Source organism: Homo sapiens, chromosome 2, assembly GCF_000001405.40.
Source record: "Homo sapiens chromosome 2, GRCh38.p14 Primary Assembly".
Taxonomy (NCBI): Eukaryota; Metazoa; Chordata; class Mammalia; order Primates; family Hominidae; genus Homo; species Homo sapiens.
In genome coordinates, this window is record NC_000002.12 from 27,136,296 (window position 1) to 27,158,131 (window position 21,836).

Below are 21,836 nucleotides of genomic sequence, written 5' to 3' on the forward strand. Positions count from 1 at the left end.
ACTACAGGCACCCGCCACCACACCCAGCTAATTTTTGTATTTTTAGTAGAGATGGAGTTTCACCATGTTGGCCAGGCTGGTCTCGTAACTCCTGACCTTAAATGATATGCCCACCTTGGCCTCCCAAAGTGCTGGGATTATAGGCATGAGCAACCACACCATGCCCTCTTTTTTTTTTTTTTTTTTTTGAGATAGGGTCTCTGTCACCCAGGCTGGAGTGCAATGGCATGATATAGCTCATTGCAACCTTGAACTCCTGGACTCAAGTGATCCTCCCACTTTAGCCTCTTGAGTAGCTGGTAGTACAGGCACGCGCCACCATACTCAGCTAATTTTTTTATATTTTTGTTTTTGGAGAGACAGGGTCTTGCTATGTTGCCCAGGCTGGTCTCAAACTCGTGGCTTCAAGTGATCCTCCTACCTCAGCCTTCCAGTGTGTTGGGATTATAGGCATGAACCACCCCCTCCCCGCCACCAAGGGTCTTGTTAGGGACTGGCACCCCTATAGTTACAGCCACCTATTCTGTGGACTCAGCAGGACGCAAACACAAGTTTCACAGGGTCAGACTTTATTAGATACACGGAGGGCTGAATGGGGCCTTGGTGCCCTTGGTCCTCTTCAGCCTGGAGACAGCAGACTCCACAAGGGGCTCCCAGGGTTCAGAGCAGGAGAACACACCTGACCTCCGGCCAGCCAGCCCTTCAGGGTGTCTCGGGGACTCCCCGAGATCTGGGGCCTGGTTGGGAGGGTTGGGTTTGGAGGGGGTGTTCCAGGGGGCCTCCGTGGCTCTGGAACTAGACTGATGACTTTTGGAGAATGAGCTCCAGAGAAACTGGCCTCTTTGGGCCAGGGCAAGGCCTGGGCTTCAGGGAGGTAGTGACCTGTTTTGGTGCCCGAGGTGGAGGCCCGGAGAAACATCGTGGGGAGTTTGGTGATTGAAGGCCTGCAGACCTGAAGCTCCTGGTCTGGGAGGGTGTGCCTGGGACTGGGTCGGCCCGGGCCTGAGCTGCTGGAGGCTGAGATGCTGGCAATTGATGCCCACAGGCCTGAGTAGCCTTGCCCTGAGGCCCTGCTTCCTTCGGCCTTTTCTCGGGCAGCAGATGCAAGGCCCTGGCCTGGCCCTGAGGCAGGCGGAGGCCGAAGCCGATGCCTATCCGGAGTGGCCCAGATTCCTGGCCCTGCACACAGGGCAGTAGTTGAGGGAAAGCAAGCAGCCGGGGTCCAGTCCTGTACCTGGGGAGGGGGCAGGAGGGGCTGCGGGGCCGGAGGCACACCAGGCATATAGGATACTCCACGACTGGGGCCTGGCCGGTTCTGCCTAGCCACAGGTGCTGCAAAAGCAGTAGCCGCAGGTCGTGTGCGATGCGGCGGTGCCCCAGCTGGACCACCAGGGCCTGGGCCAGGGCCCCTGGGTCCCTGAACTGTGCAGGATCCTTCTCGCTTGGCACGCATCTCTCCACCACTCCAGGGGACCCGGACCCAGTGTCCCTGTACTGATGCCAGCGCCATGTCTGCCTGTTAGAGTGGAGCCTATGAGAAGGTGGGCTGGGGCCTGGGGAAGTGAGTGTGGAGCTATGCAGTTCCTCGGGGTGGGAAGGGGACTGGCAAGGTGAGTGGGGAAGGGAGGAGTTCTGAGGCTGGGAGGGAGAAAAGGAAGGGGTCAGAGGGGGAGAGGGGTACAGCCAGTGGTTGGAGGGAGAGGATGCACGTGGACGGGGGAGAGAGAGGTAGTTCTGGTGAAAGAAAGTAGGGGAACTTGGGAGAGAGGGAGAATAGGGATGTGGAGCAAAGTCAGAATTTGAGTCACAAGAGCCGAATTGGAAGCCAGGAGAGGGGGATGCTGGTGGAGGGGAGGAGGGACGACGGGACTGAGTGGAAGAGAACGGTGGTTGAGAGGGAGGGAGGCCCTGATGGGGAGAGAGAGGCTGTAGGTTGTGAGGAGAGGAGTCCACAAGTTGTGAGAAGCCCCAAGTGGGGCGCCCAGGGAGCACTGAGGTCTGTGGCAGCACCTGGTCCTTGTTTTGAGGCAACATCGCCTTGAATCCAGAAGGAACTGGGGCAACAAGACTAGGGATAAGAGACCTGGCAGAGTCAGGACCAGTATCTCTGAGGTCAGCTGTGCCTGAGAAATCAAGGCCACCTTCTGTGCGCAGAGCGTGGCTCCAGCCTGGTGTGGGTGCAGGTGCTGGTGGCAGGCCAAGGGGATACCCAGCCCTCCAGCACCAGGCTCTCAGGGTGTTCAGGCATGAGCATGAATCTAAGCTTGGCTTCTCACTTCTTTGCAGTCAACCATTGATGAGGGATGTGTGGGGATGGAGAATCACAGCTGCATCTTGGGAGTGGAGGGGCAGCAGCGATTATCTGGGTGGGGCAGAGAGGAAGACAAAGCCCATAGGACCTGGAGAGAAAAGAGAGAACCCAAGACATTGGGAGAATTGGTCCATTTCTGGCTCTGCCTCATATCCCCAGTTCCAAGCTGAACTCACCAAGACTTTAAATCCATGTCACCTTTGGGATCAAAAGAACTGGCAAAATGCTCCAGGGAAGGTGAGAAGTGGGGAGGAGAGGAATAAGGAGGAAGGGAGGGTAGGATGGAGTTGGAGGAGGGGTTCGGGGGATAAGGGCTGAGATGGGAACAGGAATTGAGGGTGTTCTGGTGCTGAGCGCTCTTACCAATGAGAACTCCTCTGGGCTGTGTTTCACAGGCACTTCAGCGTTGAGAGGACCTGGGAGAGAGGAGCAGGGTCACCAAATGGTGGATACACCTTTCTCTGTCCCCAGCGTCTAACACTAAGTGCACTCTGACCCGGGTTTCTGTCTGAGCCCTGAGTTTTGCCCTCAGTCCTCCTTTAGCCAGGCGGAGGCCTGTGGTACAGATTTTTATTCTCCTAATCCTGATTCGGGGGTTCTGCAAGCATCCCAGTGTCCTGCCACTCTGGTTCCTCTGACCCCTTATTGCCCCTAGTGCTGATGTCCTCTAGCTCACCCTGGCCCAGACAGAGATACCTTATTATACCCAGCAGCAGAAGGAATGGGGCCAGCTGGTAAAAGCCTCTGGGAGACTGGGACTTTGTCTAAGGGGTGGCACCAGGTTCGCCGACCCCAATGGGAGCTGGGGGCCCCATTCCCTGAGTTCAGTTCCCCCCTGGCAGCATGTGCCTATGTCACAAAGGTCAGGTGCTGACATCATAGAATCTCCTCCTCGAAGCTCTGGGACCTTCTTCAAGAGACCATCCAAAGGCTGGCCCTTGATAACGCTGTGAAGCAGGCAGAATTCTTCAGTGCACTCAGTTTCTCCTTCAAGACCCAGCCCCCACCTCTACTCTTGGCCTATACACTTTACAGCTCCAACCACCTCCTTCATCCATTGCTCTCCCCACTAACACAGCCTGTCTGGGCTGAGTTCATGCACCACAACTTTCTCCCCCTTGGGATATACCTATTATATGTTTTAATAACTATTTTCTTAACTGCTTTATTGGGATATAATTCACATACCATACAATCTACCCATTTAAAGTGTACCATTCGATGTCTTCTAGTTTATTCACAGGGTTGTAGAACCATCTCCACAATCTAGTTTTAGAACATTTTTGTCCCCCCAAAAATCCTGTACCCATTAGCAGTTGGTCCCCACTCTTCCCCCAGCCTCTGGAAACCACCAGTCTACTCTGTTTCTATAGGTTTGCATATTCTAGACATTTCATATAAGTGGAATTATACAATATATGGTCTTTTGTATCTGACTTCTTTTACTTCGCATGTTTGCAAGGTTCATTCATGTTGTAGCATGTGTCATCGCTTTATTCCTTTTTATTGCCAGATAATATTCCTTTGTGTGGATATGCCATATTTTGTTTATCCATTCATTAATTGATGGACATTTTGGTTCTTTCTACTTTTTTTTTTTTTGAGATGAATTCTCACTCTGTTGCTCAAGCTGGGGCGCAGTGGCACAATCTTGGCTTACTGCAACCTCCACCTCCCGGGTTCAAGCAGTTCTCCTGCCTCAGCCTCCTGAGTAGCTGGGACTACAGGCGCGGGCCACTATGCCTGGCTAATTTTTGTATTTTTAGTAGAGATAGGGTTTCGCCATGTTGGCCAGGCTGGTCTCGAACTCCCAACCTCAGGTGATCCACCCACCTCGGCCTCCCAAAGTGCTGGGATTACAGGCGTGAGCCACCGTGCCTGGCATGGTTCTTCCTACTTTTTAGCAATTATGAATAGTGCTATGAACATTCTTGTACAAGTTTTATGTGAACATATGGTTTCATTTATCTTTAGATACATAGAAGCAGACTTGCTGGGTTACACGGTGAATCTATATTTAACATTTTGAGTAACTACCAAACTGTCTTCCAAGTTGGCTGTACCAATTTTCAATCCCATCAGCGAGGTATAAGGGTTCCAATGTTTCTTTATCCTTACCAACACATGTTGTTGCCTGTCTTTTTTATTTTAGCAACCCTAGTGGGTGTGAAATGGTATGATATTGTGGTTTTTATTTACATTTTCCTAATGACTAATGATGTTGAGCATCTTTTCATGTGCTAAGGGATATTTGTTTATCTTCTTTGAAGAATTGTATATTCAAATCCTTAGCCTATCTTTTTAAAAGCCAGTCAAATTTAGCAGTGGGGTGTTGTATACCAACTTTAGTGACCTTTTTTTTTGAGGGGCTGATGGAATCTCGCTCTGTCGCCCAGGCTGGAGTGCAGTGGCGCGATCTCGGCTCACTGCAACCTCTGCCTCCTGGGTTCAAGCAATTCTCCTGCCTCAGCCTCCCGAGTAGCTGGGATTACAGGCGTGCACCACCATGCCCAGCTAATTTTTTTGTATTTTTAGTAGAGATGGGGTTTCACCATATTGGCCAGGCTGGTCTCAAACTCCTGACCTTGTGATCCACCCGCCTCAGCCTCCCAAAGTGCTGGGATTACAGGCATGAACCACCACGCCCGGCCGGCTGTGGGTTTTCTATTCTTTTTCTTTTCTTTTTTTTTTTTTTTTGAGACAGGGTCTCACTCTATTGCCCAGGCTGGAGTGCAGTGGCACAATCAAGGCTCACTGCAGTCTTGACCTCCTAGGATCAAGCCGTCCTCCCACCTCAGCCCCACCAGATAGCTGGGACCACAGGCACACGCCACCATGCCTGGCTAATTTTTGTATTTTTTTGTAGAGACAGGGTCTTGCCATGCTGCCCAGGCTGGTCTTGAACTTCTGAGCTCAAGTGATCTGCCTGCCTTGGCCTCCCAAAGTGCTAGAATTACAGGGACAAGCCACCATGCTCGGCTGGCTTTTTCATACATGCTTTTTTTTTTTCTTTTTGGAGACGGAGTGTCACTCTGTCACTCAGGCTGGAGTGCAGTGGCACGATCTCAGCTCACTGCAGCCTCAGCCTCCTGGGTTCAAGCGATTCTCCTGCCTGAGCCTCCCGAGTAGCTGGGAACTGCATCAGGCAAACCTTCTTCCCATTTTATTCCTAAATAAGATAGCTACAACGATTTTGAAAAAGTGGCCAGGCGCAGTGGCTCACAGCTATAATCCCAGCACTTTGGGAGGCTGAGGCAGGTGGATCACTTGAGTCCAGGAGTTTGAGATCAGCCTGGCCAACATGGTAAAACCCCATCTCTAATAAAAAAAAAAATACAAAAATTAGCCGGGCATGGTGTTTTGAGCCTGTAATTCCAGCTACTCGGGAGGCTGAGGCAGGAGAATCACTTGAACCTGGGAGGCGGAGGTTGCAGTGAGCCGAGAACGCGCCACTGCACTCCAAGCTGGGCAACAGAGCAAGACTCCATCTCAAAAAGAAAAAGATTTTGTAAAAAGCTACATACCTCCTTCACAGTTTGCCCACAAGGAAATTCCTTGTTGGCCAAACAGTTCTGTTGAATTTCACCTTGGCAATGTAAATTGATAGCTTATCTTCACAGGTGCAGGCTAAAGGACAGAACTCAAAGTCATCATCTCTCTGCTCACCTGACACTAATGCATATCTGATTTGCTTCCTCTGTCCTACTGTCTATGTAAAAATGCAGATTCACTGAGCCAGACTAAGGGTTAAGTGACTGTTCCTTTAGCCCCCTCTCACATGTAAATTGTATATGCAGTGAAAGGCTGATCAAAGATTCAAAAGTGGCCGGACATGGGTGCTCACGCCTATACTCCTAGCACTTTGGGAGGCCAAGACAGGCAGACTGCTGGAGCTCGAGACCAACCTGGCCAACGTGGTGAAACCCCGTCTTTACAAAAAAAGTAGCCGGGCATGGTGGCACACATCTGTAGTCCCAGCTACTTGGGGGGCTGAGGCAGGAGGCTCGCTTGAACCCGGGAGGTGGAGGCTGCAGTGAGCCAAGATTGCGCCACTGTGCTTCAGCCTGGGTGACAAAGTGATACCCTGTCTAAAAAAAAGAAAGCGACTCAAAAGAATGCAACTGTTTGTCTCATCCACCTATGACCTGAAAGCCCCTGCTTCAAGTTGTCTGGCCTTTCTGGAGTAAACCAATATGCATCTTACACGTATTGATTGATGCCTCATGTCTTCCTAATATGTATAAAACCAAGCTGTACTCCAACCACCTTGGGCACATGTCATTAGGACCTCCTAGGCTGTGTCATAAGCATGTCCTTAACCTTTGGCAAAATAAACTTTCTAAATTGATTGAGACCTGTCTCAGATACTTTTGGGCTCACTTCAAATTGAGGAAGTTCTCTTCTGTTCCTAGTTTGCTGAATGATTGTATCATGAAGGGGTATTGGATTTTGTCAAACAGCTTTTTCTGCATCTGTTTAGATAACTATGTAGTTGTTGTCCTTTATTCTAGCAATATAATGTATAACATTAGTTGATTTTTGGGTGTTAAGCCAACCCTGCATTCCTGGTATAAGTCCCACTCAGACATAGTGTATAGTTCTTTTGATATGTCGCTGTATTCTGTTTGTTAGTGTTTTGTTTAGGATTTTTGTGTATACGTTCATAAGGGATATTGGTCTGTAGTTTTCTTGTGAGGTCTTTGGTTTTGGTGTCAGGGTAAAACTGACATTATTGTGGGGACAAGAGTGACTTTATTTTAAATGCTAATCTGTCATGTAACTTCTGACTAACCCTGAGTCTGGGAATGACTCCAAAATGTCTAGTTGATGTATTACTCTTTAGGTAGGAACACCTATTCATTGTAAATTTTGCCTTTCCTCCAAAACAGCCCTTGATGCTGTGGAATCCATTATAGGGTGTGATACCTGCAGCCTTTTCTCAGCCACCTACACATTCCTTCCAGACCATGTGTGTATTTTTCCCCATGAGATAAGCCCTGGGTCTGCGGGGTTGAGGTTCAGAGATCTACCTGTCTTGCAGCCACCCAAGACCATGCTTCCATCTGTAAGTTCCTCCTAATTAATCACCCTATACTGACAAACTGGATTTGTCTGCCTTCTTTGGCTTCTCGGCTCCTTCAGCATTTGGAGGTCATTTTACATATACAATTTTTTCAGGGAACAATTATAGAATGAGTTGGAAGTGTTCTCTTCTATTTGTTGGAAGAGTTTGTGAAGGGTTGGTATTAATTCTTTATTATTTCAATATTTGGTAGAATTCACCAGTGAAGCCATTTGGTTCTGGGCTTTTCTTTGTGGGGAATTTTAAAGTTACTAATTTGATCCCGTTTTATTTCTTTTCAAATTTTTTATATCTTCTTGAGTCAGTTTTGGTACTTTATGTCTTTCTAGGAAATTGTTTCATCTAAATTATCTATCTGTTGGCATACTGTTGTTCATAGTATTTGCTTGAAATCCTTTTCATTTATGTATGGTCAGTAGTGATTTCCCCTCTTTCATTTCTTATTTTAATAATTTAAGTCCCCTCTCCTTTATTCCTTGTCAATCTAGCTAAAGTTTTATCAATTCTGTTGATCTTTCCAAAGAACCAATTTGTGGTTTTGCTAATTTTCTCTATTGTTTTTCTATTTTCTTTCTTTCTTTCTTTCTTTTTTTTGAGATGAAGTCTCGCTCTTGTCCCCCAGGCTGGAGTGCAATTGTGCGATCTCAGCTCACTGCAACCTCCGCCTTCCAGGTTCAAGCAATTCTCCTGCTTCAGCCTCCTGAGTAGCTGGGATTACAGGCGCCTGCCACCACGCCTGGCTAATTTTTGTATTATTAGTAGAGACGGGGGTTCACCATGTTGACCAGGCTGGTCTCGAACTCCTGACCTCAGGTGATCCACCCGCCTCGGCCTCCCAAAGTGCTGGGATTACAGGCTTGAGCCACTGTGCCCGGCCTGTTTTTCTATTTTCTATTTCATTTATTTCTGCTCTAATCATCATTATTTCCTTCCTTTTGCTTACTTTGAGTTTAGTTTGCTCTTCTGTTTCTAGTTTCCTAAAGAGGTTAGTTACTGATTTGAAATTTTTTCTCGTTTTCAAATTTTTTTAACTTTTTTTTTTTTTTTTTTTTCTGAGACAGAGATTTGCTCTTGTTGTCCAGGCTGGAGTGCAACAGTGCTATTTCCACTCACTGCAACCTCCGCCTCCCGGGTTCAAGCGATTCTCCTGCCTCAGCCTCCCGAGTAGCTGAGATTACAGGCGCCTGCCACCATGCCCGGCTAATTTTTTTGTATTTTTAGTAGAGATGGGGTTTTGCCATGTTGGGCAGGCTGGTCTCAAACTCCTGACCTCAGGTGATCTGCCCGCCTCAGCCTCCCAAAGCTCTGGGATTATAGGCGTGAGCCACTGCGCCTGGCCATTTTTTTTTTAAATATAAACATTTACAGCTATAAATTTTCCTTCTTTTTCACTGCTTTAGCTGGATCTCATAATTTTGGTATGTTGTGTTTTTGTTTACATTCGTCTCAAAGTATTTTCTAATTTTCCTTGCAATATCTTCTTTAACTTACTGATTATTTAAGGATGTGTTGTTTAATTTCTCTATGTTTGTGAATTTTCAAAAGTTAGCTCTGTTATTGATTTCTAATTTAATTATATTGTGGTTAGAGAATATTATTTGTATGCCTTCAGTCCTTTTAAATCTACTGAGGCTTGTTTTATTTATTTTATTTTATTTTGAGGTGGAGTTTCGCTCTTATTGCCCAGGCTGGAGTGCAATGGAGCGATCTCGGCTCACTGCAACCTCCACCTCCCAGGTACAAGCGATTCTCCTGCCTCAGCCTCCCAAGTAGCTGGGATTAAAGGCATGTGCCACCACGCCCGGCTAATTTTGTATTTTTACTAGAGATGGGGTTTCTACATGTTGGTCAGGCTGGTCTTGAACTCCCAACCTCAGGTGATCCGCATGCCTCGGCCTCCCAAAGTGCTGGGATTACAGGCGTGAGCCACTGCGCATGTTGAGGCTTGTTTTATGATCCATTCTGGAGACTCTAACATATGATCCATTCTGGAGAATCTTCCATGTGCAATTTAGAAGAATCTGTAGCATTATGTTGTTGAGTGTTATTTGATGTCTGTTAGGTTTAGTAGGTTTATAGTGTTTCCCAAGTCGTCTATATCCTTATTGATTTTCTGCCTAATTGCTTGAAACTTGTAATTTTGAGGATTGCTTGAGTCAGATTCTATCTCTGTTGCCCAGGGTGGAGTGCAGTGGCGCAATCATAGCTCACTGTAACCTGGAACTCCTGGGCTCAAGTGATCTTCCCCTCTGCCCCAACAGCCTCCTGAGAAGCTAGGATTACAGGCATGCACCACTGCACCTGGCTAATACAATTATCATTTGTGTAAATTTAAAATTTATTCATACAACAATGCACAGGCTTCAGTAACACATACTACATTAGTTATCTATAGCTGCTTCCAAATTACCCCCAAACTTAAGCAGCAATAAACATTTATTATCTTCTATGGCTTCTATAAGTCAGGAATTCTACGGGCAAGAGCAATTTAGCTGGGTGATCTTGGCTCAGGGTCTCTCATGGGTTGCACTCAAACCGACAGCCAGGGCTGCAGTCATCTGGAGGTCCAACTGGAACTGGAGGATCCATTTCTGAGGTGGCTCACTCCCACGGTTGGCAAGTCGTGGTGGCTGTCAGTGAGAGGCCTCAGTTCCTCACAACATGGGCCTCTCCACAGGGCTGCTTGGATATCCTCAAGATAGCAGCTGGCTTCCCCCAGAGTGAGCGATCCAAGAGGGAGCAAGGGGGTAACTGCACTGTTTTTATTTTTTATTTTTTTTTGAGACAGTCTCACTTTGTCGCCCAGGCAGGAGTGCAGTGGCACGATCTCGGCCTACTGCAACCTCTACCTCCTGGGTTCAAGCGACTCCTGCCTCAACCTCCCGAGTATCTGGGACTATAGGCATGCATCACCATACCTGGATAATTTTTGGGGTTTTTTTTGTTGTTGTTTGTTTTTTAAGATGGAGTTTCGCTCTTCTGCCCAGTCTGGAGTGAAGTGGCGTGATCTCAGCTCATTGCAACCTCCGCCCCCGGGTTCAAGCAATTCTTCTGCCTCAGCCTCCCATGTAACTGGGATTATAGGCACCTGCCACCACACCTGGCTAATTTTTGTATTTTTAGTTGAGACAGGGTTTCGCCATGTTGGCCAGGCTAGTTTCGAACTCCTGACCTCAGGTGATCCGCCCACCTCGGCCTCCCAAAGAGCTGGGATTACAGGCGTGAGCCACCGCGCCCGGCCTGATGCACATCTTTTCCATCTCCTTTCTATATGTTCACATAAGCACATAAAACTTTACATTTCTATTTTTTATTTTTTGGTGTATTTTTTTACGTGGCTGGGGTCTTACTATATATATTGATCTACAACTAGCTTTTTTCACAACTGTGTGTTTTGAAGAGTTTTTCATGTCATTTAACAAAGGGCTGTCATTATTTTTATTACTGTACATTATTTCATAGTATGGAGATGCCAAAATTTATTTAACGACTTCCCTACTGATGGACATGCAGGTTGTTTCTACTAACCTACCTACCTTTCTTTCTTTCTTTCTTTGCTTCCTTCCTTCCTTCCTTCCTTCCTTCTTTTTTCAAGACCGTGTCTTGCTCTGTCGCCCAGGCTGGAGTGCAGTGGCACGATCTTGGCTCACTACAAGCTCCACCTCCCAGGTTCACGCCATTGTCCTGCCTCAGCCCCCTGAGTAGCTGGGACCACAGGCACCCACCACCACGCCCGGCTAATTTTTTTGTATTTTTAGTAGAGATGGGGTTTCACCCATCTTAGCCAGGATGGTCTCAGTCTCCTGACCTCGTGATCTGCCCATCTCAGCCTCCCAAAGTGCTGGGATTACAGGTGTGAGCCACTGCACCCGGCCCTTCCTTCCTTCCTTTCCTTTCCTTTTTTTTTTTTTTTTTTTTTTTTTTTTGAGATGGAGTCTCGCTCTGTCGCCCAGGCTGGAGCCCAGGCAATCTCGGCTCACTGCAACCTCTGCCTCCCGGGTTCAAGCAATTCTCCTGCCTCAGCCTCCCGCGTAGCTGGGACTACAGGCACGTGGCACCACACCCAGCTAAATTTTTGTATTTTTAGTAGAGACGGGGTTTCACCAAGTTGGCCAGGATGGTCTCCGTCTCTTGACCTCATGATCTACCTGCCTCTGCCTCCCAAAGTGCTGGGATTACAGGCGTGAGCCACCGCGCCCGGCCTCTTTTTCCCTTTCTCTGTGGTGGGCTGCATATCTTTCTCACTGTACATCCACCTTTTTACTTTCTCCTTACTTATTTGATCTCCCCTGAGGTTCGAGAATGGGGGACAAGGGACATCAGGCTGGATTCTGCTACAGGCAGAGGTCCCTGGAAGACAGCAGGGGCTGCTGTGGCAGATTCGCGATTCCTTCAGCCCGCCTTCTCCTAACTAGCTCTTGGAGGATGTGATGCAACTCAGGAACACCATGGTCCTTGCCTTCAGAGACCTCATGTCTAGCATGGGGACAGACGCGTGAGTAACCCATGGGAGGCAGGCTAGCATCAGGTGAGGGGTAGCCTTCAAAGTCCAACTGACGGCTTGGATTTTCATCCCACCCCACCACTTAACGGATGTTTGACATTGGGCAAGTTATTTCACCTCCCAGTATACCAGTTCCCACACATCTAAACTGAGTCTCTTTTTTTCTTAAAAGGTTGCTCTGAGAAATAAATAAGATGCTTAGCACAGTGCCTGGCACACAGTAATCTATGAATATCGAACTTCTGGGAAAGTAGCCAGGCTGTGATTGTACCAATCAAACAGGGACCCATGGGCTCTGGGCCTGCGGGATTTGAAGTCTTCACGAATGAAAGGCGGAGACCTGAAGGATGGGCAGTACCTCCTGGCAGAGCTGGAGGAAGGTATTCTGGGGCGTGGAAAGGTAAATTTAAACACAGAGTGGAAATCGGAGGCATATTTGGGGCATGGCAAATCGCGCTCTGTGGCTGGAAGGTCACGTTCATTGGCAAGGGGAGGAAAGGCCTTTCAGGGATGTATGCAGGCAGCCTTCTGGCACAGACGAAGGAGGTTCAAGTCCTCTCCATGGACGTGAGCTCCAAAGCGGAAGTCACAGGTCCACCATAGGACCACTGTTGAGGTTAGGCATGGCCGGAAAGGAGCTCCCTTCCCCACTATCCTCCTGCCTTCTTCAGCATGGGCCTCCTCCCAAGGCTTGGCCACTCCCAGCATCCAGCACCCCCACCTCTCAGCTGGGTTAGGAGGCAGGCGGAGGCTTTTCGCGGGGGCTGTGCCTGGTGGGCGGTTTTCCCAGAGCAGGGAGCAAACAGGACTGAGTTGGCGCCAGCTTCCTCGGATGTAGATATTGCTGGCTGGATGACCAGCCACAGCCAGCTAGCTTGAGTCCAAGGCCTCCTCAGGCACTGTGTTTCTGCTCTGTGGGCTGCAGCCCCAGTGGGGTGGCATGTCACAGAGGAAGGCCAGAGGGCCACCAGCCATGCCAGGGGTGGGGCATAGCCAGACTCAGGCCAAAGCACGGTTGCTGCCAGGCGCTGACAGGAAGAGGAGCCGCCTCAGCAGGACAAGGCAGGACCCGTGGGAAGAAAGAAGCTGGAGCAACCAGAGATGGAGCAGAGCTACCCCTGGCCCTCGAGGGACCAGGGCTGGGGGCCTGGCTCTTGGCAGGGTAAGGAAATCCTGCACCTGCAGAGGGGTCCAGGGGAGGAAGGGGTTGGAAGGTGGGGAGATGTCACCTCTGATGGTACAGCCTCACTCAGTATTACCATTCCTGCCCAAGAGAGGGGACACTGGCCCCTTAGACTCCAAGGCATCATGCTTTGGGTAGTTGGGATAGATCAGAGCTGGTCTTAACCAGAGTGCAGCTCAGAGAGCTGCACTAACTCACTTCTCTTGAGGAAACTGAGGCCGGGAAGAGGGATGTGAATTTCCCAAGGTCACTGAGCAGCAGCCAGTGGTAGGACTGGGACTTCAGCCTGTGTGCTTTGACCCCTGGTTCTGTGTCTTTCCTCTTTCCCACAGCAGCCTCGTCGTCTCAGGACCTGGCTAGGTCAAGGGTCCGCCCTCCCAAACAGGGTGTAGCTCTGAACTCCCCCTGGCCCCAGCACACCCTGATAAGCAGGATTCAGATTGGGCATGGGACAGGACAAAGGCTCTGAGGAGGCATGAGTGGAGTAGTAGAGAGAACACAGGACTCTGGGTTCTGAGCCAAGCTCTGCCATCCTGCAGCCATCTGACCCCTGGCCAGGCCTTCCCCCAACTTCCTCAGCTGTGAAACGCGGCAGGGCTGCAGATGACGTAGGTGGGCAGAGGCCCTCTGGTGCCTACTGCTAGACACCCTTCTACTCTGGTGGGAGACCTTGTGCTCAAACGCTCTCAGAAGTCAGGGCAGTTGGGAGTCCAGGTCACACACACTCACTGGGGCCCTCTGTGCAGAGCGAGGCCAGTCCTGAGAATGCCGCGCGGGAGCGGAGCCGGGTCAGGACGCTGCGCCAGGCCTTCTTGGCCTTGCAGGCTGCTCTGCCTGCCGTGCCGCCCGACACCAAGCTCTCCAAGTTGGACGTGCTGGTGCTCGCCGCCAGCTACATAGCCCACCTCACCCGCACACTCGGCCACGAGTTGCCTGGCCCTGCCTGGCCGCCCTTCCTGCGTGGACTCCGCTACTTGCACCCTCTCAAGGTAAGTCACAAGCCCTGGGACTTGAGAGGCGGATCTTAATGCCCAGGGCCTTGGAGAAAGGGATTGGAATGAGGGGGGACATTGGACTTGGGCCCCCTGCCCTGTGCAGAACTGACGTCGGAGCCAATTTCTCCTGCTGTCTCAGAGGGAGAGGAGCCAAGGCTGACCCTTGGGGCTGCGCTGACCCTGGGTTTCTCATGGGAGTGTGGCTGGAAATGGCTTCATGGGAATGCACCTCCTTGAAGAGGAGGGAAAGACTCTGGGGTTCTTAGAGTCACAGGGAAAAATGTAGCAGGTTCCAAGTCTGGGGCCTGGGAAAGGAAATTATACCAAGGAGAGTCCTAGATCCCCATGCAGCTTCAGCCCATTGTGCCTGCCTTGGTGCTTTCTAGGCTTCTGTTGCAAGAGAGGTCTGTCCTCCAGGAGAACAACGGTCTGAGGGACCGTCATTCTAGAAGCAACCAAGCTGGGGGAGTTAGCAGGCAGCAGTACAGGGAAGGCGCGCACCACTTGCCAGACTGCAATCTAGCTTTTCTCAACCTCAGTTTTATTACACGTAAAATAGAAGCTAACATGAGCCTTACTTCTCTTCCAGAGTACAAAATGGAAAGTCTAATGAACATTAATCATCTTTGCAATAACAGCTAACAGTTGAGTGCTAAAGATAGGCCAGGAGCTGGGTTAAGTACGTTAGTGTATTTTTGTCTTTTAATCCATGCAAAAACCAAATGAGGATTACTTTACAGATGAGGAAACTGAAGCTTAGGGAGGTTATGAGGCTGAAAGCGGTTTGAACTCAGGGGTGTCTGACTTCAGACCCTAAGCTCATAGCCACTAAACAGTCTCCAGGGACAGCGCCATAAGGAGCTGGTTGAAGAGTGCACTGTGTTAAAAAGGAAGGGTCATCTTTGCCCTCTGAGGATAACATTGCAGTGGTATCAACTTTTTTATTTTATTATTTATTTATATATGTACTATTATTTTTTTGAGACAGAGTTTCACTCTGTCGCCCAGGCTGGAGTGCAGTGGCGCAATCTTGGCTCACTGCAACCTCCACCTCCCGGTTCAAGTGATTCTCCTCCCTCAGCCTCCCGAGTAGGTGGGATTATAGGCGTGCACCACCATGCCCGGCTAATTTTTCTATTTTTAGTAGAGATAGGGTTTCACCACTTTGGCCAGGTTGGTCTCAAACTCCCGACCTCAGATGATCCACCCACTACGGCCTCCCAAAGTGCTGGGATTACAGGTGTGAGCCACCACACCCAACTATTTATTTATTTACTTATTGTTGAGACAGGGTCTCACTGTCGCCCATGCTGGAGTGCAGTAGCGCAATCATAGCTTACTGTACCCTCAAACTCCTGGGCTCAAGGAATCCTCCCACCTCAGCTTCCCCAGTAGCTGGGACTACAGCCTTATGCCACCACACCTGGCTTTTTTTTTTCTTTTTTTTTTTGTAGAGACGGGGTCTCACTTTGTTCCACAGGCTTGTCTCAAACTCTAAGCTCAAGTGATCCTCTCACCTCTCAACTTTATTTTTATGATACTTTTCACCACCTCTTTCCCCTAAATGTCATAGTTCTGAAATGTCTTAAAACTTGGTTTTTTTCTTCAATGCAAATGTAGCTAAAATGTATAAATTTGAGACTAAGTGGGGAACTCTGAAATGTCAGTGGTGGTGCAGGGTCCTGGGATGATATAGTAGTTTCCTTCGCTGTAAAATAGTGACCAAGGCAAGGCCCTTGCTTGTAGTAGGTGATCAACAGCTATGCTGAAGAATGAACCAATGAGGGCCCGGTTAGGTCCAGCACTCCAGCACATCCACAGGGTGGGGCAGTTGGCCAGGAAGCAGCTCCCTCAGCTCCCAGGTGGAGAGGTTGTGAACAGGAGGGCGACCTCAGGGCAATCAACCTGGTGTATTCTGGGACTGCTCATGCTCCTGCTGGAAAGATGGGCAAACCTTGGAGGACCCAGCTTGGAGTTTTTCCTGGCTCTGCTGCTCTGCCCATTGCTCAGCCTCTGGCTGTTGCCAGCTCTGCCCAGGCCAGCTGATCTTCTGTCCACCTCCCTCCCAACAGAGCGCTGCTCTTCTTGGGGCCCTCTCCCTCCTCAGATGGCTCCTCCTGTGTCTCTCATCCAGGCTCTGGGTGATCAGGAGAATGTGTGGGGCTGTACATGATGATGACCCTGATCAGAGCAGTGATGGCTGGGGAAGGTGTCAGGGAGGGATGCTGGAGAAGGCTGGGTTTTGGGTGTCAAGGATCCTGGACCACGAAGGGCTGCAATAGCAGCATTTCTCACTTCCCAATCTGTGTCTTGCAGAAGTGGCCGATGCGATCTCGTCTCTATGCTGGAGGCCTGGGGTACTCCGATCTTGACTCCACCACAGCCAGCACCCCCAGCCAAAGAACAAGAGATGCAGAGGTGGGGTCCCAAGTCCCTGGAGAGGCAGATGCTCTCCTTTCCACCACACCACTCTCACCAGCTCTTGGTGACAAATAATTATCACACTCGCCCTTTTCTCCTAGACTGTGACTCATGCTTATGGGCCTGGATTTTCTACCAGCCCCCAGATTCTCAGCCATCAGACTTGACTCAGACTCAGCTCCCAAGTTCCAGCATGCAGACCAAGAGAAGCAGTAGCACTTCTGTGATGGACAGTACCTAGAGGGGCACAGGTTGGAGAGCCTCCTCCTTGGTCCCCAGGAGGGGACTTCCCCATGGCTCTTCTGTGACAGCTACTGGGAAGTGGGAGAGAAAGAGGTATAATTGGGCTCAAAGTTGAGGTAGGGAACCACCCTAGCTTTCTTCCCCTAAGGTTTCTACAAACCCTCTGCAGATAGCAAAAAGGCAGGTGCAGAGGGAGGGGCCTGGGATGGCACCAGCCCCAGGTGCTGATGGGAAAGCCAGGTGGCCGGATAGGCTCCTGGTAGCTCCAAGTGTAAACAGATCTGGGCTGGGTCACACAGCCAGAGGGGAAACTGAAGAAGGAAATGTGCTTTCTAACTGCATCATGAGATGCTTACCTGATGTTAGAGAGATAGTGAGGAATTCAGGATTCCTCCCTCTGTAGTATGGGCCTTTCCAGAAGCTGCCCCTCACCACTACATTTTCTCTCCCTCTCGGCTCCTGCACTCTTCCACTCTTTTCTTTTCTTTTCTTTTCTTTTCGTTTCTTCTTCTTTTTATGTAGAGATGGGGGTCTTGATATGTTGCCCAGGCTGGCCTCGAACCCCTGGCCTCAAGTGATCCTCCCACCTCAGCCTCCTAAAGTGCTGGGATTACAGGCATGAGCCACCATGCCCAACCCCACTGTTTTCTTGACATGAGTTATATCTACAGGTTAAGCCATACATCTTGCATTGCTTACATTCCAGTTTCCAGAGAAACTTTTAGATAGTCCCAGATGCCTAGTTTGAGATCTTAACCAGAAGCAATTCTACCTTAATTGAACCAAGCAGCAACTTATGGCCTTAAATATGAAGGATATTGACAGAATCAATTACATCCTTGAAGGACCTTAAGAGAAGATCAGGTATATAGGGGGTGATCATTACAGTCTTCTCTTTCCATTATGTTAGAAACCTGCCCTCAAGCAAAAACAAGATAGGCCTGCCTTCAACTGCTCAACCACTCAATTGGCTCCTTGTAAAATTTGTGTTCGAGGCTTCCCTGGCTCTGGAGTTATTTCTATAGTCTATTAGCTCCCTAGGGCCGGCTCCGCCTCATGGAGATCGTCCTTGGGGGCTTTCTCTAAGTCCTACCATGGGGTGCCAGAAATGTGATATAGCTTCGGTGAAACTCATCTCTGGCCCTAAAGAAATAACTTGAGGACTAATCATAGAATCTACACACACTGAAAATAACTTTCCAGATCGGATGTAGCCTCAAACCTGGCACCTGAAGTCCAGATGGAACAAATTACCTTTCGGTTAAATTTCAGCCCTTCAGAGTGGGAGGGGACGGGCATGACCAACTAGAGTCCCAACAAGGTTATCCTTAGACACACACCATTGTTGTTATCATGAATGTAAGTGAGCTCTGGGCAGGCTGGGAATGGTTGGGGTCTGGGTTCTGGCATGACAGGACCCTGTACCTCCACAGGGCTGGCCAGGGCAGAGCTGAAATAGGGCTGGGGGTGCGACTGAGCCAGTTGTGGTAGAGGTAGAAAAAGAGACACAGAACATCCCAGCCCCGAGCTGCCTGGGATGTGGGAGAACAGCTGGAATGTGGATGGGAGCCATGGGGAGAAGGCCTCGGCCAAGGCTGAACTCGTAAATCTGCCTTGAACCACGTCTCTGCAGAGGGACCCTGAAGAGCTTGTGCAGAGCTGATGTGGGCAGCTGGACAGGGCCAGGCAGGGGCAGAGGCCAGGTGTGGGAGGGCATGAGCACAGTGTTCTTCACAAGACCATAAAAGTCCAGCTAGAATGTACTATTTTTAAAGCCAAACAGCAGTATCTTCCTGGTTGAGTTCACGGGAGTGCTAGGAAGAGAAGCAGATACATTTCCTCCTCAGTTGGTGGCACACTTTCCTGGGGATGAAGGGAAATTGGCTTGGGGTGTGTGTCGGGGTCCTCTGGATAGCATGGAGCTTCTCCTGATAATAGAGTAGACTTTGGGTTGGAGCTTGCCCCACCCTGTCCTGCTCAGACTCAGGCCTTTGCCTAGTAACATTAGAGCCCTCAGGGGTGACCGCATGGCCCTGGTGTAGACAAGGAGGGCACAGGAAGGATGACGCAGGTGGAGGGCTGCAGGAGGCAGGTCCCATCGCTACAAGTTTCTCAGGGTGTCTTGGGCCCTTTCCAGGCAAAGCTGTTCTCCTTTGTGCCCAGGACAGTCGAGGGGGGTGGGGCAGAGGCCATCTCCTCCAGCCACAGAGACCCAGCCCCGTCAGGCCAGCAAGCAAAGGGGCCTGGCAGGGGGCAGGGTGAGCCAAGGGAAGGCCTAGGGGATGGATGGGAATAACCAGAGGATGGACTGGGCCCTCCCTCCCTGACAAGCACAGTAATGCCCTTGAGACATGTCAGGACTTGGATGCGTGAATGAACCAGAAGTAACCCGCTTTGTCTCTGCAATGAGAAAGAAAAACACAGCCAGGCTCAGTGGCTCATGCCTGTAATCCCAGCACTTTGGGGAGTCGAGGCGGGCGGATCATGAGGTCAGGAGTTCGAGACCAGCCTCGCCAACATGATGAAACCCCTTCTTTACTAAAAATACAAAAATTAGCCAGATGTCGTAGTGGGCACCTGTAATCCTAGCTACTTGGGAGGCTGAGGCAGGAGAATTGCTTGAACCTAGGAGGCGGAGGTTGCAGTGAGCCAAGATCACGCCACTGCACTCCAGCCTGGGCGACAGAGCAAGACCCCATCTCGGGAAAAAAAAATGAAAGAAAAAAAAAGAAAAGAAAAGAAATAAAAGAAAATATGGATGAAAACATTTGAGCATGGATGACAAATGACACTAGGGTGGCCTGGCTCAGGAGTTGGAGGCTCAGCTGCTCCATAGGGGATTGGCCTGGCCTACCTGGTCTTCCTGCACCACCTGCCCCATCCCCAGGACTTGGGATTGGGATGGAGGTGGAGGTGGGGAACAAGACTTCCCTGCTGGCTCCCTCCACAGAGCATGTGCTTTCTGAGGAACAGGATGGCAGGGTGGAGGCTTAGATGGGGCTGTGGGGCTGGGTGTGGTGGCTGATGCCTGTAATCCCAGCACTTTGGGAGGCCGGGGTCGGGGGTGGATCATCTGAGGTCAGGAGTTCAAGACCAGCCTGACCAACATGGTGAAACCCTGTCTCTACTAAAAATACGAAATTAGCTGGGTGTGGTGGCACATGCCTATAACCCCAGCTACTTGGGAGGCTGAGGCAGGAGAATTGCTTGATCCCAGGAGGTGGAGTTTGCAGTGAGCTGAGATTGTGCCATTGCACTCCAGCCTGGGCAACAAGAGTAAAACTCCGTCTAAAAAAAAAAAAAAAATGCGGCTGTGGGAGAAGCAGAGCTGGCCCAGTGATTTCTTTTTTTTTGTTTTTTGAGACAGAGTCTCACTCTGTCACCGAGGCTGGAGCGCAGTGGCGTGATCTCGGCTCACTGCAAGCTCCGCCTCCTGGGTTCACGCGATTCTCCTGCCTCAGCCTCCCGAGCAGCTGGGACTACAGGCACCCGCCAACACGCCCGGCTAATTTTTTTTTTTTTTTGTATTTTTAGTAGAGACGGGGTTTCACCATGTTAGCCAGGATGGTCTTGATCTCCTGACCTCGTGATCCGCCCGCCTCGGCCTCCCAAAGTGCTGGGATTACAGGCATGAGCCACCGCACCCGGCTGGCCCAGTGATTTCTAAGTAATACAGTGGACACTGGATTTTACCAAATTGGGAACTAGAGAAGTAGAGGATCTAGCCTTCTCTGAGACTCCTTTTCTCTTCCTCTGGGAGGAGCCTGGCTAGGGTGAGTCAGATGGCACTGTCCTCTCCCTTTTGTGGCATGAGCCCTAAACCCAGGGCCCCTAAAAGCTTATTCTATTCTAGATCAAGGTAGGCAAACTATGGCCAGTGGGCCAAACCCAGCCCCCCATGTATTTTTGTAAATAAAGTTTTATTGGAACACATCCACACCCATGTGTTTATGTGTTATTTATGGCTGCCTTCCTGATAGCATTGCAGAGTCAAATAGCTGCACTAGAGACTGAAAAGCCTAAAATATTTACTCTGTGGTCCTTAACAGAAGTTTGCTAACTCCTGCTCCAGCTCAGAGGTATTCAAAGTATGGTCTAGGAACCCTGGGGGTCTCCGAGGCCCTTAAGGTGGTCTAAGTAGCCAAAACTACTTTGATAGTTTTATATTTTTAGGCCACACATGGTGGCTCGCACCTGTAATCCAGCACTTCGGAAGGTGGAGGCAGGTGGATCTCTTGAGACCAGGAATTGAAAACCAGCCTGGGCAACGTGACAAAACCCCGTCTCTACTAAAAATACAAAAATTGGCCAGGTGTGGTGGCAGCTGTAATCCCAGCTACTTGGGAGGGTGAGGCATGAGAATCGCTTGAACCTGGGAGGCAGAGGTTACAGTGAGCCAAGATGGCACAACTGCACTCTAGCCTGGGTGACAGAGTGAGACTCCGTCCCAAAAAAACAAAACAAGGTGGGCATGGTGGCTCACGCCTGTAATCCCAGCACTTTGGGAGGCTGAGGAGGGTGGATCATTTGAGGTCAGGAGTTTGAGCCCAGCCTGGGCAATAGGTGAATCCCCATCTCTACCAAAAATACAGAAAAATTAGCTGGGTGTGGTGGCAGGCGTCTGTAGTTCCAGCTACTCAGGAGGCTGAAGCAGGAGAATCGCTTGAACCTCGGAGGTGAAGGTTGCAATGAGCCGAGATCATACCACTGCACTCCAGCCTAGGCGATAGAGCAAGACTCCATCTCAAAAAAATAAAAACAAAACAAAACAAAAAATTAGCTGGGCTTGGATGTGTACACATGTAGTCCCAGCTACTCGAGAAGCTGAGATGGGAGAATCACCTGAGCCTGGGAAGTGGAGGCTGTAGTGAACTGTGTTCTTACCACTTCTCACCACTGCACTCCAGCTTGGGCAACAGGAGTGAGACTGTCTCAAACAAACAAACAAACAAACAAAAAAGAAGTTGTCTATATTTTTTACTCTTACTCTTTCAAGAGTGTAGTGTAATTTTCCAGGAGCCACATGACATGTGATATTGCAACAAATGGAATGAAGAAGCAGATAAGAGACTCCAGCTGTCTATTACAACAGACAT

The 21,836-nt window shown here is 49.8% G+C and overlaps 2 protein-coding genes across 3 annotated transcripts, besides 1 other annotated feature; one reads left to right on the top strand and one right to left on the bottom strand.

The window, feature by feature from the left end:
• Positions 1–552: 552 nt before the first annotated feature.
• PRR30 (proline rich 30) lies at positions 553–3,115 on the bottom strand. Its single transcript, NM_178553.4, has 3 exons — positions 3,008–3,115; positions 2,675–2,727; positions 553–2,399 (listed from the first exon to the last, which is right to left on the bottom strand). Exon 3 carries the CDS (start codon positions 2,032–2,034, stop codon positions 796–798), a length of 1,239 nt encoding a protein of 412 aa, NP_848648.2. The 5' UTR covers positions 2,035–2,399; positions 2,675–2,727; positions 3,008–3,115; the 3' UTR covers positions 553–795.
• A 9,593-nt stretch (positions 3,116–12,708) lies between these two features.
• Positions 12,709–20,679, top strand: TCF23 (transcription factor 23). Of its 2 annotated transcripts, XM_005264159.6 has the most exons (4): positions 12,709–13,060; positions 13,828–14,070; positions 16,393–16,494; positions 16,599–17,282. In XM_005264159.6, the coding sequence occupies exons 1-4, from the start codon at positions 12,839–12,841 to the stop codon at positions 16,662–16,664; spliced, it is 633 nt and encodes a 210-aa protein (XP_005264216.1). In that variant the 5' UTR covers positions 12,709–12,838; the 3' UTR covers positions 16,665–17,282. The 2 variants fall into 2 exon arrangements, with proteins under 2 accessions (XP_005264216.1, NP_786951.1); NM_175769.3 differs by having other exon boundaries at positions 16,393–20,679.
• Positions 16,619–16,678: an enhancer, noted in NCBI's record as "active region_15492". NCBI's record gives its function as "activates an Ori minimal core promoter by ATAC-STARR-seq in GM12878 lymphoblastoid cells {active_cell/tissue: GM12878}" and the evidence as "EXISTENCE:reporter gene assay evidence [ECO:0000049][PMID:35858748]".
• Positions 20,680–21,836: the final 1,157 nt, after the last annotated feature.

Bases quoted from the DNA above. Each gene is read 5' to 3' on its own strand.
- PRR30 (NM_178553.4), bottom strand. From the start codon at position 2,034: ATGTTGCCTCAAAACAAGGACCAGGTGCTGCCACAGACCTCAGTGCTC.
- TCF23 (NM_175769.3), top strand. From the start codon at position 12,839: ATGTCACAGAGGAAGGCCAGAGGGCCACCAGCCATGCCAGGGGTGGGG. The intron at 13,061-13,827 runs GTAAGGAAATCC...CCCTCTGTGCAG, and splicing joins GGGGCCTGGCTCTTGGCAGG to AGCGAGGCCAGTCCTGAGAA. The intron at 14,071-16,392 runs GTAAGTCACAAG...TGTGTCTTGCAG, and splicing joins GCTACTTGCACCCTCTCAAG to AAGTGGCCGATGCGATCTCG.